The 18278-nt window shown below is 45.3% G+C and overlaps 1 protein-coding gene across 1 annotated transcript, besides 2 other annotated features; it reads left to right on the top strand.

Moving 5' to 3' along the window:
- Positions 873-1546: an enhancer, noted in NCBI's record as "H3K27ac-H3K4me1 hESC enhancer chr12:7856907-7857580 (GRCh37/hg19 assembly coordinates)". NCBI's record gives its function as "activates a minimal SCP1, AML or CMV promoter by ChIP-STARR-seq in primed H9 embryonic stem cells {active_cell/tissue: H9 hESC(primed)}" and the evidence as "EXISTENCE:reporter gene assay evidence [ECO:0000049][PMID:30033119]".
- GDF3 (growth differentiation factor 3) lies at positions 10082-16073 on the top strand. Its single transcript, NM_020634.3, has 2 exons — positions 10082-10396; positions 15153-16073. Exons 1-2 carry the CDS (start codon positions 10129-10131, stop codon positions 15977-15979), a joined length of 1095 nt encoding a protein of 364 aa, NP_065685.1. The 5' UTR covers positions 10082-10128; the 3' UTR covers positions 15980-16073.
- Positions 11601-12238: an enhancer, noted in NCBI's record as "H3K27ac hESC enhancer chr12:7846215-7846852 (GRCh37/hg19 assembly coordinates)". NCBI's record gives its function as "activates a minimal SCP1, AML or CMV promoter by ChIP-STARR-seq in primed H9 embryonic stem cells {active_cell/tissue: H9 hESC(primed)}" and the evidence as "EXISTENCE:reporter gene assay evidence [ECO:0000049][PMID:30033119]".

Here is an 18278-nt window from a genome sequence, read left to right as displayed (position 1 = left end):
TCCTCCTTAGTTTTTGGAATTCCACAGTGAGAAATTAATACTCCCAGGGCCAATTATTTAATAGCTTAGTGGAAAATACTTAATGATGACAATACGATGACAGCCCTCTAAAGAGTTTGCTGGAAGAAATGGTGGCTCTGATAGAAAGAGGGGAAGATGGGTGGTAGATTTCCCAAAATGCGCTGTTTGAGTGAGGCTATCTGGAACCCTGACTAAAGGTCACTCGGGCCTCTCAGAAGAGGGTAGTAAATACTGTTAGCATTCCCAGATTTGCTTAAGGATGAGATTTCAGGAAAGACTTGTTTTGTGTATTTATAGAGCTCCACAGAATGTACAGGGAGTAATGCTGGTGGGGTGTTGCCTAAGAATAACTTTGTGTTTCATTGTTTCTTTTTCTTTTTTGAGACAGAGTCTCGCTCTGTCGCCCAGGCTGGAGTCCAGTGGCGCTATCTTGGCTCACTGCAACCTCTGCCTCCCGGATTCAAGCGATTCTTGTGCCTCAGACTCCCAAGTAGCTGGGATTACAGGCACGTGTCACCACGCCCGGCTAATTTTTGTGTTTTTAGTAGAGACGGGGTTTCGCCATGTGGGCCAGGCTGGCCTCGAAATCCTGACCTCCGGTGATCCACCGCCTCGGCCTTCCAAAACGTTGGGATTACAGGCGTGAGCCACCGCACCCGGCGAGATCTTACTTTCTAGTAACATTCTCCAATAAAAAGAACGAGAGCTCCTTGGAGAAATGGCTAATTCTAGGACTGGGAAGAAAATATGTAAGATAAGAGCATTGTCAGACCAGGCGTGATGGCTCACACCTGTAATCCCAGCACCTTGGGAGGCCAAGGCAGGTGGATCACTTTGATACTGTTCAGGTGAATGAAGGAACACCAGGGCTCTTGTCTCTCCTTGAATTAGATAAAACAACATGGCCGGGAGCAGTGGCTCATGCCTGTAATCCCAGCACTTTGGGAGGCTGAGACGGGCAGATCACAAGGTCAGGAGTTCGAGACCAGCCTGGCCAATATGGTGAAACCCCGTCTCTACTAATAACACAAAAATCAGCTGGGAGTGGTGGCACACGCCCGTAGTCCCAGCTAGTCAGAAGGCTGAGGCAGAAGGATCACTCTAGCCCAGGAAATCAAGGCTGTAGGGAGCTTTGTTCATACCACTGCACTCCAGCTTGGGTGACTGAGCAAGACTGTCTCAAAAGAAAAAAGAACCAAAAACAACACACCTGTTGGTAGGAGCACAGGAGCCAACTAAAAGACCTGGAACAGCTTGAGCCACAAAATAAATAAGTAGTATTGGATTATCACCCAAAGTTTAAAATAAATATTCATGAGGTCACTCTGATATAAATAAATGATAGGACAAATTAATAATTGGACAGGAAGAGACAACTCTCTCTCTGGGCTATTTTTTGTTTGTTTGTTTGACAAAGAGTCTCGCTCTGCCTCCTAGGCTGGAGTGCTGTGGCGTCATCATACCTCACTGCAGCCTTGAACTCTTGGGCTCATGCTATCCTCCCACCTCAGACTCCTGAATAGCTGGGATTACGGGCATGAACCCCAACAGTCGGCTAATTTTTTTAAGTTTTGGACAAGAGTTCCAACTCTCTTTAGAATTGCAGAAGAATTCCAAACAATGTATGCTCAAGACAGGGGTGGGGGGGCACACCCAACTACCCACTTCTTAGGTGTGAACTGCACATGGTGACTCCTTTTATGGTATGAGGCCACCACTTCTCCTGTTGGCCTTCTCAGTTTCTCCCCAACCTCCCCTTTTCCCTAGTTTATAAGACAGGAGAAAAGGGAGAAAGCAAAAAGTTGGAAAGAAACAGAAGTAAGATAAATAGCTAGACGACCTTGGCGCCACCACCTGGCCCTGGTGGCTAAAATAATAATAATATTATTAACCCCTGACCAAAACTACTGGTGTTATCTGTAAATTCCAGACATTGTATGAGAAAGCACTGTAAAACTTTTTGTTCTGTAAGCTGATGTATGTAGCCCCCAGTCACGTTTCTCATGCTTACTTGATCTATTATAACTTTTTCACGTAGACCCCTTAGAGTTGTAAGCCCTTAAAAGGGCTAGGAATTTCTTTTTCGGGGAGCTCAGCTCTTAAGACACGAGTCTGCCGATGCTCCCGGCCGAATAAAACAACCTCTTCCTTCTTTAATCTGGTGTCTGAGGAGTTTTGTCTGAGACTCGTCCTGCTACACTTTCAAAGTGTACAGTATGGCTGGGTGTGGTGGCTCATGCCTGTAATCCTAGCACTTTGGGAGGCCAAGGCAGGTGGATCACAAGGTCAGGAGTTCGAGACTAGCCTGACCAACATGGTGAAATCCCATCTCTACTAAAAATACAAAAATTAGCCGGGTGTGGTGGCACACACCTGTAATCCCAGCTACTTGGGAGGCCGAGGCAGGAGAATCACTTGAACGTGGGAGGCGAAGGCTGCAGTGAGCCGAGATCACACCACTGTACTCCAGCCTGGGTGACACAGTAAGACTCTCTCAAAAAAATAAAAATAAAAATAAAAATAAAAATAAACCCCCAAAATCAAAGTGTACAGTATGGAGCCAGGCGCGGTGGCTCATGCCTGGAATCTCAGCACTTTGGGAGGCCGAGGCAGGCAGATCACTTGAGGTCAGGGTTTCAAGACCAACCTGGCCAACATAGTGAAACCCTGTCTGTACTAAAAATACAAAAATTAGCCAGGCCTGGTGGTGTAGGCTGAGGCACAAGAATCACTTGAACCCAGGAGGCGGAGGTTGCAGTGAGCCAAAGTTGCACCACTGCACTCCAGCCTGGGCAACAGAGCAAGACTCCATCTCAAAAATAAGAAAAGAAAAGAGAAGAGAAGAGAAAGAAAAAAAAAATCAGGTGTTGGGATTATAGGCGTGAGCCACCATGCCTGGCCCTTTATGTACCCTGAATTGATAATTAGACATAATTTAATAAGAAGATAATATGGCCGGGCTCGGTGGCTCGTGCCTGTAATTCCAGTGAGGAGGCCAAGGAGGGCAGATCACGAGGTCAGGAGTTCAAGACCAGCTTGGCCAACATGGTGAATCCCCATCTCTACTAAAAATACAAAAAATTAGCCGGGTGTGGTGGCGGGCACTTGTAATCCCAGCTACTTGGGAGGCTGAGGCTGAGGTAGGAGAATCGATTGAACACCCGGGAGGTGGAGGTTGTGGTGAGCCAAGACCGCACTACTGCACTCCAGCCTGGGCAACAGAGCAAGACTCCATCTCAAAAAAAAAAGAAGATAATATAAAATGTAAATCTTTTTTTTTTTTTTTTGAGATGGAGTCTCGCACTGTCACCCAGGCTGGAGTGCAGTGGCACAATCTCTGCTCACTGCAGCCTCCACCTCCAGGGTTCAAGCAATTCTCCTGCCTCAGCCTCCCGAGTAGCTGAGATTACAGGTGCCTGCCACCATGCCCGGCTGATTTATTTTATTTTATTTTATTTTATTTTTTTCATTTTTAGTAGAGTCGGGATTTTACCATGTTGGTCAGGATGATCTGGATCTCTTGACCTTGTGATCTTCCCACCTCGGCTTCCCAAAGTGGTAGGATTACAGGGGTGAGCCACCGTGCCTGGACGTGAGATTCTTTTCAAAAGTTAGTTTTGGTATGTTGGCTTTGTATGTACCCTCGGCAAATTCTATTCAACCTATTTCGATAATGTCTCATTGCCTGTACTCATTTCCTTTCTTTGAAAACTAGTAAGAAAGGTAGAAATGGTCACCAGGGCATGGCGTGTAATTAGTACAGGACATCTCAAGGAGTTTTCCTTAATTTCTGAAGATTCTTCTCAACTTTTTTTTTTTTTTTTTTTGAGACCGAGTCTCACTCTATTGCCCAGGTTGGAGTGCAGTGTTGTGATCTCGGATCACTTCCAACTCCGCCTCCTGGGTTCAAGGGATTTTCATGCCTCAGCCTCCCAAGTAGCTGGGATTACAGGTGTGTGCCACCATGCCCTGCTAATTTTTGTATTTTTAGTAGAGATGGGGTTTCATCATGTTGACCAAGCTGGTCTTTAACTCCTGACCTCAAGTGATCCACCTGCCTCGGCCTCCCAAAGTGCTAGGATTACAGGCATGAGCCACCGTGCCTGGCCTCAACTTTCTTATATCCCTACTAATGATCATATCATGTTTAGAACAGATGGAAGAGGTGTCCACAATTCAGTTGAGAAAAAAAGTTTCAAACAACAACAACGAGACATTTCTATTAGGAAAAGGAGCTCATTTATCAATGGGAGGGTGGTAGAGTATAAGGGTTGAAGAAGAAGCTTCATTATATTTGACGTTCTCCTCCTGAGTGTTTTTTGTTTGTTTGTTTTCAAGACAAGCTCTTGCTCTGTTACTTGGGCTAGAGTGGAGCAATTACACTTAATTTTTTTTTCTTTTTTTTTTTCTTCCTTTTTGTGGAGAACGGGGTCTCGCTATATTGCCCAGGCAGGTCTTGAACTCCTGGGTTCAAGCTGTCCTCCCGCCTGTGCCTCCCTGAGAGCTGGGATTACAGGCGTGAGCCACCGCGCCCGGCTGAGTGGAGCAATTACATAGCGGAGCAATCACATAGCGGAGCAATCATAGCTCCTGGGCTCAAGGGATCCTCCTGCCTCTGCTCCACCAAAGCACTGGGATTACAGGCATGAATCACCATGCCCAGCTGGGTTTTCAAATTTTTTTTAATTTTTATTTTTAATTTTAATTTTTAAATAGAGGTGGGGTTTTGTCATATTGGCCAGACGTCTCTTGAACTCCTGGCCTCATGTGATCCACCCTCCTTGGTCTCCCATAGTGATAGGATTGCAGGCGTGAGCCACCACGCCTGGCCAGGAATAGTTTTTAAACATTTAGTATATATTACAAATTTTTCTTCCAGATAAGTTATGTTAATGTATACCTAGACCTGTGTATAATAGCGTTAATTTCCTTGTTTCCTCATCCACACAAGCCGTTGTCTTTTTTCATCTTGCTAATTGGATAGACAAAGACATTTCATTGTTTTAATTTGCATTTCTTTTTTTCACTAGTGAAGTTGAAAATTTTTTATGTTTATGATAACAATAATTCTGCTGGACTGATATTTTTCTCATTTTATTTTATTGTATCATTTTAACTTTTATTTATTTATTTATTATTGAGGACAGAGTCTCTGTTTGTCGCCCGGGCTGAAGTGCAGTGGCACAATCCTGGCTCATTGCAACTTCCACCTCCCGGGTTCAAGCGATTCTACTGCCTCAGTCTCCCGAGTAGCTGGGATTACAGGTGCGCGCCCCCATGCCCAGCTAATTGTTTTCATATTTTTAGTAGACCCAGGGTTTCACCATGTTGGTCAGGCTGGTCTCGAACTCCTGACCTCAAGTGATCTGCTCGCCTTGGCCTCCCAAAGTGCTGAGATTCCAGGCATGAGCAACTGCGCTCAGTCCTTAACTTTTATTTATTTTTAATTTTTTAATTTTTAATTTTTTTGAGACGGAGTCTTGCTCTGTCGCCCAGGCTGGAGTGCAGTGGCGTGATCTTGGCTCACTGCAAGCTCCGCCTCCCAGGTTCAGGCCATTCTCCTGCCTCAGCCTCCGGAGTAGCTGGGACTACAGGCACCCTCCACCACGCCAGGCTAATTTTTTTGTATTTTTAGTAGAGACGGGGTTTCACCGTGTTAGCCAGGATGGTCTCGATCTCCTGACCTCGTGATCCGCCCGCCTCAGCCTCCCAAAGTGCTGGGATTACAGGCGTGAGCCACCGTGCCCGGCCAACTTTTATTTTAAATTCAGGGGTACATGTGCAGGATGTGCAGGTTTGTTACATAGGTAAATGAGTGTCACGGGGACCCATTGTACAGATTGTTTAATCCAGGTGTTAAACCTAGTATCCATTCATTATTTTTCCTGATTCTCTCCCTCCTCCCACCCTCCCTCCTTTTCGCATTTTATGGATTAGAAAACTAAAGACCAGAGAAACAATTTTTCCAGGACCCACAGCCAGTAAGCGATTGAGTTAGGATTTTAGTCTTAAGTCCATGACTCCAGAACCAATTCTATACTACCTAGCTATATTGCCTTGATTTTCTTTTCTTTTTCTTTTTTTTTTTTTTTTTTAAGACAAGTCTCGCTCTGTCACCCAGACTGGAGAACAGTGGCACAGTCTCAGCTCACTGCAACCCCCACCTCCCGGGTTCAAGTAATTCTCCTGCCTCAGCCCCCTGAGTAGCTGGGATTACAGGCATGTACCACCAGGCCCAGCTGATTTTTGTATTTTTAGTAGAGATGGGGTTTCACCATGTTGGCCAGGCTGGTCTCGAACTCCTGACCTCAAATGATCCACCTGGCCACTGTGCTTGGCTGATTTTTATTTTCTGATTTGGGCTCAAAGTCCAGAATTACAGTGGCTTTGCTTATAGAATCTTTTTTTTTTTTTTTTTTTTTTTTTTTGAGACAGCGTCTTGCTCTGTTGCCCAGGCTGGAGTGCAGTGGCATGGTGGCGTGATCTTGGCTCAATGCAAACTCTGCCTCCTGGGTTCAAGCAATTCTCCTGCCTCAGTCTTCCGAGTAGCTGGGATTACAAGCGTCTGCCACCATGCCCCACTAAGTTTTGTATTTTTAGTAAAGATGGGGTTTCACCATGTTGGTCAGGGTGGTCTTGAACTCCTGACCTCAGGTGATCCACCCATGTCGGCCTCCCAAAGTGCTGGGATTACATGCGTGAGCCACTGCACCTGGTCTGCTTATAGAATCTTTAAAAACAATAAAATTCAATCCTATGATTTCTTAGGTAAGCAAAGTGAGTCCCAAATAGGTTAGCCCTGTATGACATATCAGACCATTCCAATTCTTCACTTTGAAAAATTTCCATGCCTGAGTATATATCATAAAAGACTGAGTGAATTGCCTAAGATTACATTGTTTATTTATTTATTTATTTATTTATTTTTGAGATGGAGTTTCATTCTTGTTGCCCAGGCTGGAGTTCAATGGTGCGATCTCAGCTCACTGCAATCTCCGCCTCCTGGGTTCAAGCGATTATCCTGCCTCAGCCTCCTGAGTAGCTGGGATTACAGGCAAACGCCACCACTCCAGGCTAATTTTGTATTTTTAGTAGAGACGGGGTTTCAGCATGTTGGTCAGGCTGGTCTCAAACTCCTGATCTCAGGTGATCTGCCCACCTTGGCCTCCCAAAGTGCTGGGATTACAGGAGTGAGCCACCGCGCCCAGCCTACGATTACATCGTAATTGGAAATGCTGTGCTTAACTCAGATCCCCTGGCCGATTTGGTGCTTTTCCTGCTAGGCAACTGCACATTCTCTATTACTTCTTTTTCCCTCCATGATCAAACTACCTCTCTCCCTGCCTTTTTTTTTTTTTTTTTTTTTTTTTTCTTTTTCTCTTAGCTTGTGCTCTGCTGAACCTTTTTTTTTTCCTTTAGGAACTGGGTCTTGCTATAGTACCCAGGTTGGCGTCGCACTCCTGAGCTCGAGGGATCTTCCCACCTCAGGCTTCTAAGCGGCTGGGACTACAGGCACAAGCCACTGCACCTGATCGACCTCCTCTTTAATTAATAATAATGACGATAATAATAATAGCTAACTTTTATTGAGTGCTTTCCATTCGGCAGACATTGTCCTGAATGTCATCTGTACATTATTTTACGAGTTGCCCTCAGCACCTTAACAAAGAATGTTTTTGTTTGTTTGTTTGTTTGTTTTGAGACGGAGTCTTGCTCTATCCCAGGCTGGAGTGCAGTGGCGCGATCTCTGCTCACTGCAAGCTCCGCCTCCTGGGTTCACGCCATTCTCCTGCCTCAGCCTCCCGAGTAGCTGGGACTACAGGCACCCGCTACCATGCCCGGCTAATTCTTTTGTATTTTTAGTAGAGACGGGGTTTCACCATGTTAGCCAGGATGGTCTCGATCTCCTGACCTCGTGATCCGCCCGCCTCGGCCTCCCAAAGTGCTAGGATTACAGGCATGAGCCACCGCGCCCAGCAACGAAGAATATTTTATTCCCATTTTACACTTGAGTGGCTTGCTCATGGTCACATAACTAATCAGTAGTGGAACCAGAATTTGAACCAGTTAGTCTGATTTCTGACCTTAAGTCAGGAAAGTCAAATAAAGAAAACCCAAATACAACCTACTCTTATTGTTGAAAAAAGGTTAAGATTGTAGATTAATTTAAAAGTGTTAAATAAGATAGAAACAGGAGATAAGAGAAGTGGGACCTGCGAGCAGTGGCACCTGCCTGTAGTTCTAGTTACTTGGAGGCTGAGGCAGAAGATTCCCTTGATCCAGTAATTCAAGGCCAGCCTGGGCAACACAGTGAGACACTCCCCAAACCTAGTCTCTAAAAAAAAAAAAGAAAAAAAAGAAATGGGGAAGACCTCACTATATAAAAGAGTGAGACCTCTAGAAATAGCAACCAATTAATTCCTTAATTTATTTTTTGCACAGATACTTATCAAATGTCTGCTACCTGCCGGACACTTTCTTCACCAGTGGAGATACTTTGGGGAAAAAGACACACTGAAGATACTTAGGCAAAGAGACACAGTTCTGATCCTCAAGGTGTGAGTTGTCTGAAAAGGAAGGAGGCAAACACAGTAAAATGCACTGCAGAAACTGTAATGGAGGGCCGGGTGCAGTGGCTCACACCTATAATCCCAACACTTTGGGAGGCCGAGGTGGGTGGATTACCTGAGGTCAGGAGTTTGAGACCAGCCTGACCGACATGGAGAAACCCCGTCTCTACTAAAAATACAAAAGTAGCCGGGCATGGTAGCGCATGCCTGTAATCCCAGCTACTAGGGAGGCTGAGGCAGGAGAATTGCTTGAACCTGGGAGGCAGAGGTTGTGGTGAGCTGAGATCGTGCCATTGCACTGCAGCCAGGGCAACAAGAGCGAAACTCCGTCTCAAAAAAAACAAAAAAACAAAAAAACTGTAATGGATGCCCAAGTATGGCTCAGTGGGAGAAAGAAGTATCTCAATCTATTTTGGTGAGTCGAAACTGTGGAAGTAGAGGTGACCTTTGAACTTGGTCTGTGTAAAGGCTCTGAGATGAAATGAGCTCACAGAGCTACAAATAGGTCAATGTAATTAGAGCATCCACACTAAGGATGGTGGGTGGTGAGAAACAAGGCTGGCGGCTGGGTGTAGTGGCTCATGCCTACAATCCCAGCACTTTGGGAGGCCGAGGTGGGAAGACTGCTTGAGACCAGGAGTTCAAGACCAGTCTGGACAACATGGCAAGGCCCCATCTCTGTAAAAAATAAAACAATTAGCTGGAAGTGGTGCCCTATGCCTGTAGTCTCAACTACTCCAGAGGCTGAGGTGGGATGATCTCTTGAGCTCAGGGGGTCGAGGCTTGCAGTGAGCCAAGATCAGGCCACTGCACTCCAGCCTGGGCAACAGAGCGAGACCCTGTCTCAAAAATAAATAAATACATAAATAAAAATAAAAATAAAAATAAAATAATGAAATCTACTTGAGTATTTGTCTAATCCAGGGGTGTCCAATCTTTTGGCTTCCCTGGGTCACATTGGAAGAAGAAGAATTGTTTTGGGCCACACGTAAAATATACTAACACTAATGATAGCTGATGAGCTTAAAAAAATCACAAGAAAGTTTCATAATGTTTTACGGAAGTTTATGAATCTGTGTGGGGCTGCATTCAAAGCCATCGTGAGCCTCATGTGACCCTCCGGCCGCAGGTTGGACAAGCTTGGTCTATGTAGATGATTAATTACAAGTCTATGAATTATTCACTGCTCTATTCCTAGCACCTATCTCAGCACCGTGCACATAATAGATGCTTAGTAACTGTTTGTTAAATGAATAAATGCATGTCTCCTTTTCACTCTGTCTACTGCTGACAACCTCACATTGTTGTAGAATTTATGTCCATGCATTGGTAATCTTTGTTCTGTGAACTTTTTCCTGGAAGAGTAGAGCAAGAGAAGAGAAAAAAAAATTCCCTCTTCACATCCAATGGCCTTTGAGGAGCTGGGAAGAGAGCAATTCACACTTGATTATCTTACATCAGATAAATTAGCAGCCTCTGAATTGTTGGGCAGTCTGGCAGTGGAGCTCTCCCCGGTCTGACAGCCACTCCAGAGGCCATGCTTCGTTTCTTGCCAGATTTGGCTTTCAGCTTCCTGTTAATTCTGGCTTTGGGCCAGGCAGTCCAATTTCAAGAATATGTCTTTCTCCAATTTCTGGGCTTAGATAAGGCGCCTTCACCCCAGAAGTTCCAACCTGTGCCTTATATCTTGAAGAAAATTTTCCAGGATCGCGAGGCAGCAGCGACCACTGGGGTCTCCCGAGACTTATGCTACGTAAAGGAGCTGGGCGTCCGCGGGAATGTACTTCGCTTTCTCCCAGACCAAGGTAAGGAAATAGAGTGTTATCCAGAAAAACATCTGGAACTGGGTGGTGTGAAGAAAGGAAAGGACAATAGGAAATGACAATTACTGATGGCCTTGTGCTGGTATTTTTCATATTTTGTCTCATTTAATTCCAGCCACGATCCTGAGAGGAAGTTAGATATTCTTATCAAGTTCCTAACAGTAAGGAAATTAGGCTCAGACAGTAGGTAACCTGTAATCTATTCAAGATCATACAGCTAGTGTGTGAGAACAAAGTCAGGATTTGAAATAGGTTTTTGTTTTCTGAATCAACTGCTTTGTGCTTCAGTTGAGATGAAAGAGGTGAGGGAGGAATCAGAGCTCAGTCTCCCACCCTGCAGCCCATATATACACATCCTGCCGTCTTCCATGTGGCAAGCAGGGTATGAAAATTTTGAGGTTGGTTTGCCCAGGAGTCCTGCTTCCCTTATTTGTACCTCCTGGCTACTCTTGTTGGGTGGCAAAGGTTATTCTAGATTTGTGAATAGAGAGCAATAATATATACAACTGTCATATCCTTTTAAAAGGATCTCAGTGAGTGGGATCCAGTACTTTCCCAAACTGACCACCCACCAAATAACTTAGGTCTTCCATTAACAGTAGATCCTCCAACCCCATTCCTGCCCCTAGTTCTCCCCACCCAATTCTTATTCAAAGTCTGAAATGGGTGTTGAGAATCTGCATGTCTATACAACCTCCCGGGTGTTTCAGATGCAGAATTTAGAGCCTTGGTTAGTTTTACAGCAACTGGAGAGAAGATTTGAATATTTATTTGTCCAAGAAGCACTTATTGGATACCTATGGTGAGCCAGGAACTGTGTATGGCCTTGAGAATACAAGATAAAGTTTGCCTTTTTTTTTTTTTTTTTTTTTTGAGAGTCTCGCTCTGTCCCCCAGGCTGGAGTAGAGTGGCACTTTCTCAGCTCACTGCAACCTCCGCTTCCTGGGTTCAAGTGATTCTTCTGCCTCAGCTTCCCAAGTAGCTGGGATTACAGGCGTGTGTCACCAAGCCCAGCTAATTTTTTAATTTTTTAATTTTTTAGTAGAGACAGGGTTTCACTATATGTTGGCCAGGCTGGTCTTGAACTCCTGACTTCAGGTGATCCGCCTGCCTCAGCCTCCCAAACTGCTGGGATTACAGGCCTGAGCCACCGCACCCAGCCCAGAATTACCTTTTAAAAATGCGTATTGAGTCGTACTGCTCCTCCACGTAAAATTCTCGTCTGCAAAATTCTGCAAGAGTTGACCCACCATGCCCTGCCTGTTCTGACCCTGCTGCTTACTTCCCCAGTCTCACCTTTTACACCCTCTCCTTGCACACTCAACTCCAAGCTCATAGTAGTCTATTCCTTCTAGAGCATGCACTCTTGTCTCATCCTCACACGTGCTGTATCCAGGCTGCCTGAAGTACTCCCTCAGAATTTGCCTGGTCAAGTACTTCAGGCTTTTCTTCTTCTTCCTCTTGTTCTTCCTCTTTTTGTTTTTTCCCCTTGAGACAGGTCTTGCTGTGTCACCCAGGCTGGACTGCAGTGGCACAATCTCGGCTCACTGCAGCCTCCACCTCCTGGGCTCAAGCGATCTTCCCACCTCAGCCTGCCGAGTAGAGTAGTTGGAACTACAGGCTACAGGTGCACGCAACCACGCCAGGCTGATTTTTGTACTTTTTTATAGAGATGAGGTCTCACCATGAGGCTGGTCTCTAACTTCTGAGCTCAGGCAATGGCCTGCCTTGACCTCCCAAAGTGCTGGGATTATAGGCATGAGCCACCATGCCCAGCCAAATTTTGTTAGGTTTTGAATGATGCTTGAGAATGAAGAGGTGTGGTGGTGGGGTGCTTAAGAGTGTTTCGGTTTGAGTTGTAATTTCTCCCTAAGCTGAATGACCTCAGAAAATACCTACTTAAGGCTGGGCGTGGTGGCTCACACCTGTAATCCCAGCACTTTGGGAGGCCGAGGCAGGCAGATCACGAGGCCAGGAGTTCGAGACCAGCCTAGCCAACATGGTAAGGCCCTCCCCCCACTCCCCTGACCCCCGTCTCTACTAAAAATACCAAAAAAAAAAAAAAAAAAAATTAGCCAGGTGTGGTGGCGGGCGCCTGTAATTCCAGCTACTCTGGAGGCTGAGGCAGGAAAATCGATTGAACACCCGGGAGGCAGAGGTTGCTGTGAGCCAAGATCGCACCACTGCACTCCAGCCTGGGTGACAGAGCAAGACTCCATCTCGGGGAAAGAAAAAGAGAGAAAATACCTACTCAAGCGTGAAGTCATTCTACCAAACAAAATGATGGCATTAGAGGCCAAATGAGTTATTTGTGAAAAGGGAGAAATTGAAGATGCAAATAGTAAAAGTAGACTGTATTGGGCCTTTTCCTAGAGGAATAGGTAAAATTTGAAAATTCAGGCAGGAAAGTTAGCTTAGAAAACAGGGAGAGCACATTTGTAACTTCAGAAGAGGGGCATCCATGGACAAAAATCGAAGAATCACATTGTACTTCAATATGAGGAGAGGCTGGGCACAGTGGCTCGTGACTGTAATCCCAGCACTTTGAGACGTGGGAGGATCCTTTGAGCTCAGGAGTTCTCGATAAGCCTAGGCAACATAGAGAGACCCTATCTCTACAAAAACTTAAAAAAAAAATTGGCTGGGTGTGGTGGCTTTTGCCTGTAATCCCAACACTTTGGGAGGCCGAGGTGGGCGGATCACCTGAGGTCAGGAGTTTGAGACCAGCCTGGCCAACATGGTGAAACCCCGTCTCTACTAAAAATACAATTAGCCAGACGTGGTGTGCACCTGTAATCCCAGCTACTCCAGAGGCTGATTCAGGAGAATTGCTTGAACCCGAGAGACGGAGGTTGCAGTGAGCTGAGATCAAGCCAGTGCACTCCAGCCTGGGCAACAGAGCAGGACTCCGTCTCAGAAAAAAAAAAAAAAAATTAAAGCCAATCTGAATGATTGGACTTTGGCCAACAACACCTGACTGTCTAGGTTGCTATTTTTTTTTTTTTTTTAACTGAGACGGAGTTTTGCTCTTGTTGCCCAGGCTGGAGTACAATGGTGTGATATCGGCTCACCACAACCTCTGCCTCCCAAATTCAAGTGATGCTCCTGCCTCAGCCTCCCGAGTAGCTGGGATTACAGGCATGTGCCACCCTGCCCGGCTAATTTTTTTGTATTTTTAGCAGAGACAGGTTTTCTCCATGTTGGTCAGTCTGGTCTCCTGACCTCAGGTTATCTGCCCGCCTTGGCCTCCCAAAGTGCTGGGATCACTGGTGTGAGCCACCATGTCCCGGCCCAGTCTATTGACTCTTTCTCAGAATAATGGTTTAAGTGCCTAAAGTAAAATATTTAGGATTTCAAAAGAAACCAATTAAATATTGAAATACATTTTAAAATTTTTTTAAAACTTTTTTTATTTTTTATTTATTTTTTATTTTTTGAGGCAGAGTCTTGCTCTGTCGCCCAGGCTGGAGTGCAGTGGCGTGATCTTGGCTCACTGCAAGCTCCGCCTCCCGGGTTCACACCATTCTCCTGCCTCAACCTCCTGAGTAGCTGGAACTACAGGCACCCTCCACCTTGCCCGGCTAATTTTTTGTATTTTTAGTAGAGATGGGGTTTTACCGTGTTAGCCAGGATGGTCTCGATCTCCTCATCTCGTGATCCGCCCGCCTCGGCCTCCCAAAGTGCTGGGATTACAGGCATGAGCCACCACGCCTGGCTTTTAAAATATTTTAAAGACAAATGTATATATAGTAATATATATAATGCTTTATTCATGTAATACATAACAAGATTTAGGGAGGTGACTATACCTATAACTACCATAAATTTCGGCATAGTGTTAGCATAAGTGTTTTGTTTTTTTTTTTCTTTTTCTTTTCTTTTATTTATTTATTTATTTTGTAGAGATGGGGTTTCACTATGTTGCCCAGGATGGTCTCAAACTCCTGGCCTCAAGCAAATCTCCCATCTCAGCCTCCCAACGTGCTGGGATTACAGGCATGAGCCACCTTGCCTGGACTCCATAAATATTTTAAGTTATTTGCAACAACTAAACGTATGAACACACCTATGATTTTATTGATAACAATGTCATAGGCCCTGATGATATTACTGGGATTTGTTACCTATATTCATAATGAAGGAAATGCTAAATTTCATTTAGAGTTTAGTGGAAATAATGATGTAATTATTTTTCCCATCTAAGTTCGTGCACCCTCTACATTTCATCCAGGAATCTCTGGGAACCTGTGGATGTGAAGATAAGAACCTCTGGCTTTCTTTTTTTTTTTTTTTGAGACGGAGTCTTGCTCTGTCACCCAGGCTGGAGTGCAATGGCGCGATCTCGGCTCACTGCAAGCTCCGCCTCCCGGGTTCACGCCATTCTCCTGCCTCAGCCTCCTGAGTAGCTGGGACTACAGGCGCCCGCCACCACGCCTGGCTAATTTTTGTATTTTTAGTAGAGACGGGGTTTCACCATGTTAGCCAGGATAGTCTCGATCTCCTGACCTCGTGATCCGCCCGCCTCGGCCTCCCAAAGTGCTGGGATTACAGGCGTGAGCCGCCGCACCTGGGGACCCTCTGGCTTTCAGGAATAGAGAAACAAACCCTCCCAAATGACAGGGCTTGTGTCTTTCCCTGCCCTTATATTGTATATGTGGGTGTCTGGCATTTCTATTATATAGGTGGATATGAAGTAAATACATCATTATGACTCTGACATGTCTCTTTTCCCATCTAGGTTTCTTTCTTTACCCAAAGAAAATTTCCCAAGCTTCCTCCTGCCTGCAGAAGCTCCTCTACTTTAACCTGTCTGCCATCAAAGAAAGGGAACAGTTGACATTGGCCCAGCTGGGCCTGGACTTGGGGCCCAATTCTTACTATAACCTGGGACCAGAGCTGGAACTGGCTCTGTTCCTGGTTCAGGAGCCTCATGTGTGGGGCCAGACCACCCCTAAGCCAGGTAAAATGTTTGTGTTGCGGTCAGTCCCATGGCCACAAGGTGCTGTTCACTTCAACCTGCTGGATGTAGCTAAGGATTGGAATGACAACCCCCGGAAAAATTTCGGGTTATTCCTGGAGATACTGGTCAAAGAAGATAGAGACTCAGGGGTGAATTTTCAGCCTGAAGACACCTGTGCCAGACTAAGATGCTCCCTTCATGCTTCCCTGCTGGTGGTGACTCTCAACCCTGATCAGTGCCACCCTTCTCGGAAAAGGAGAGCAGCCATCCCTGTCCCCAAGCTTTCTTGTAAGAACCTCTGCCACCGTCACCAGCTATTCATTAACTTCCGGGACCTGGGTTGGCACAAGTGGATCATTGCCCCCAAGGGGTTCATGGCAAATTACTGCCATGGAGAGTGTCCCTTCTCACTGACCATCTCTCTCAACAGCTCCAATTATGCTTTCATGCAAGCCCTGATGCATGCCGTTGACCCAGAGATCCCCCAGGCTGTGTGTATCCCCACCAAGCTGTCTCCCATTTCCATGCTCTACCAGGACAATAATGACAATGTCATTCTACGACATTATGAAGACATGGTAGTCGATGAATGTGGGTGTGGGTAGGATGTCAGAAATGGGAATAGAAGGAGTGTTCTTAGGGTAAATCTTTTAATAAAACTACCTATCTGGTTTATGACCACTTAGATCGAAATGTCAATATACCTGTGTTTATAATTTGTCTTCCTGAAAAACCCACCATAATTAACAATGCCCATACTTGCATGCGTGTGCACACACACACATCCTGGAGCCCTAATAATCATAGTTAATTTCTGTTCTAACATACTCATTATGCATATGACAGTATGGACACTGGCATTTACTGATGGCCGATTATGGGCAGGCATTATCCTACGTGTTACTTTACAAACATTTCACTGTCTTTGAGGGAAGTATTGTTATTTATGCTTTACAGACAAAGAAGCTGAGGTTTAGAGAAGCTAACAAATTTTCCTAAGGTCAGCAGCTCTCCCTGGCTCTCCCTGGCAAATCTGATATGCTAACAGCATTACATTAAAAATATTTGAGGCCGGGTGTGGTGGCTCACGCCTGTAATCCCAGCACTTTGAGAGGCTGAGGTGGGTGGATTATGAGGTCAGAAGATCGAGACCAGATTGACCAACATGGCGAAACCCCGACTCTACTAAAATACAAAAAATTAGCCGGGCATGGTGGTGCATGCCTGTAGTCCTAGCTACTTGGGAGGCTGAGGCACGGGAATCGCTTGAACCCAGGAGACCGGTTGTAGTGAGCTGAGATCGTGCCATTGCACTCCAGCCTGGCAACAGAGCAAGACTCCGTCTCAAAAAAAAAAAAAATTAATTTTTTTAAAGGAAGCCTCGGCTTCCAGAAGTGCTGGGATTGCAGGTGTAAGCCACTGCACCGGGCCCTAGTTAGACCAGCCCCGTTCTGGTCTTTTATTGATGTTCCATATGATTCCTATAGTGCAGATCACATTGTACATATAATCTTTTTTTTTTTTTTCTTTTTGAGACGGAGTCTTGCTCTGTCGTCCAGGCTGGAGTGCGGTGGCGCGATCTCGGCTCACTGCAAGCTCCACCTCCCGGGTTCACGCCATTCTCTTGCCTCAGCCTCCCGAGTAGCTGGCATTATAGGCATAGGCCACCATACCTGGCTAATTTTTTTGTTTGTTTGAGATAGAGTTTTGCTCTTGTCGCCCAGGCTGGAGTGCAATGGCATTGTCTCTGCTCACAGCAACCTCTGCCTCCTGGGTTCAAGCAATTCTCCTGCCTCAGCCTCCCAAGTAGCTGGGATTACAGGCATGTGCCACCACACCCAGCTAATTTTGTATTTTTAATAGAGATGAGGTTTCTCCATGTTGGTCAGGCTGGTCTTGAACTCCTGACCTCAGGTGATCCGCCCACTTTGGCCTCCCAAAGTGCTGGGATTACAGGCATGAGCCACCTCGCCCGGCGCCGGGCTAATTTTTGTATTTTTAGTAGAGACGGGATTTCACCATGTTGGCCAGGCTGGTCTTGAACTTCTGACCTCAGGTGATCCACCAGCCTTGGCCTCCCAAAGTGCTGGGAGTGCAGGTGTAAGCCACTGCGCCTAGCCCTAGTTAGTTAATTTAATGGCTGCAACTGTATGTGCTTGTTTAGATATACCATAATTTACTTCAGAGAACGTTTATCACTAGACATTATGAAGTTTGCAGTTTTCATGATGGAATAGGGTTGTAACTCTGTGTTCACATATCATTGTCCATTTTTTAGTCCCCACCCCCTTAGAAAATTTTCAGACATGGAATTGCAGAGTCAAAAGCATAAGCTGACTCGTGTATAATTAACATAAAATCAATATTAAAACAAATATGGATAAATTTTGGGGTGAAATGCAAAATTTGCATATATATAGAAAAACTCTAGTCTGGGCTTGGTGGCTGATGCCTGTAATCCCAGCACTTTGGGAGGCCGAAGTGAGAGGATCACTTGAGGCCAGGAGTTTGAGACCAGCCTGGGCAATATAGTGAGATCCCATATCTACAAAAAATTAAGAAATTAGCTGGGTGTGGTGGCACTTGTCTACAGTCCTAGCTACTTAGGAGGCTGAGGTGAGAGCATTGCTTGAACCCAGGAGATTAAGGCTGCAGTGAGCTGTGATTGCGCTACCACCCTCCAGCCTAGGCAACAGAGTAATAAACAAACAATTTACAAAATAATAAAATGTAGATTATAATTTTACTATATTATAAATATATGTGAAGACCCCTGCATAACCCCCTCAATCTTTTTTCTCATCCTTCCAAAGAAACCACAAACCTGAATTTGTTGCATATCTTTTCTGTTTATTTCTTTAAAATTTTACTACATATATATATATATATTTGAGACGGAGTTTG

This window comes from Homo sapiens, chromosome 12, assembly GCF_000001405.40.
Source record: "Homo sapiens chromosome 12, GRCh38.p14 Primary Assembly".
Lineage (NCBI taxonomy): Eukaryota > Metazoa > Chordata > Mammalia > Primates > Hominidae > Homo > Homo sapiens.
Note: the sequence above shows the minus strand (reverse complement) of the source record. Positions and strands in the feature narration are given on the sequence as shown.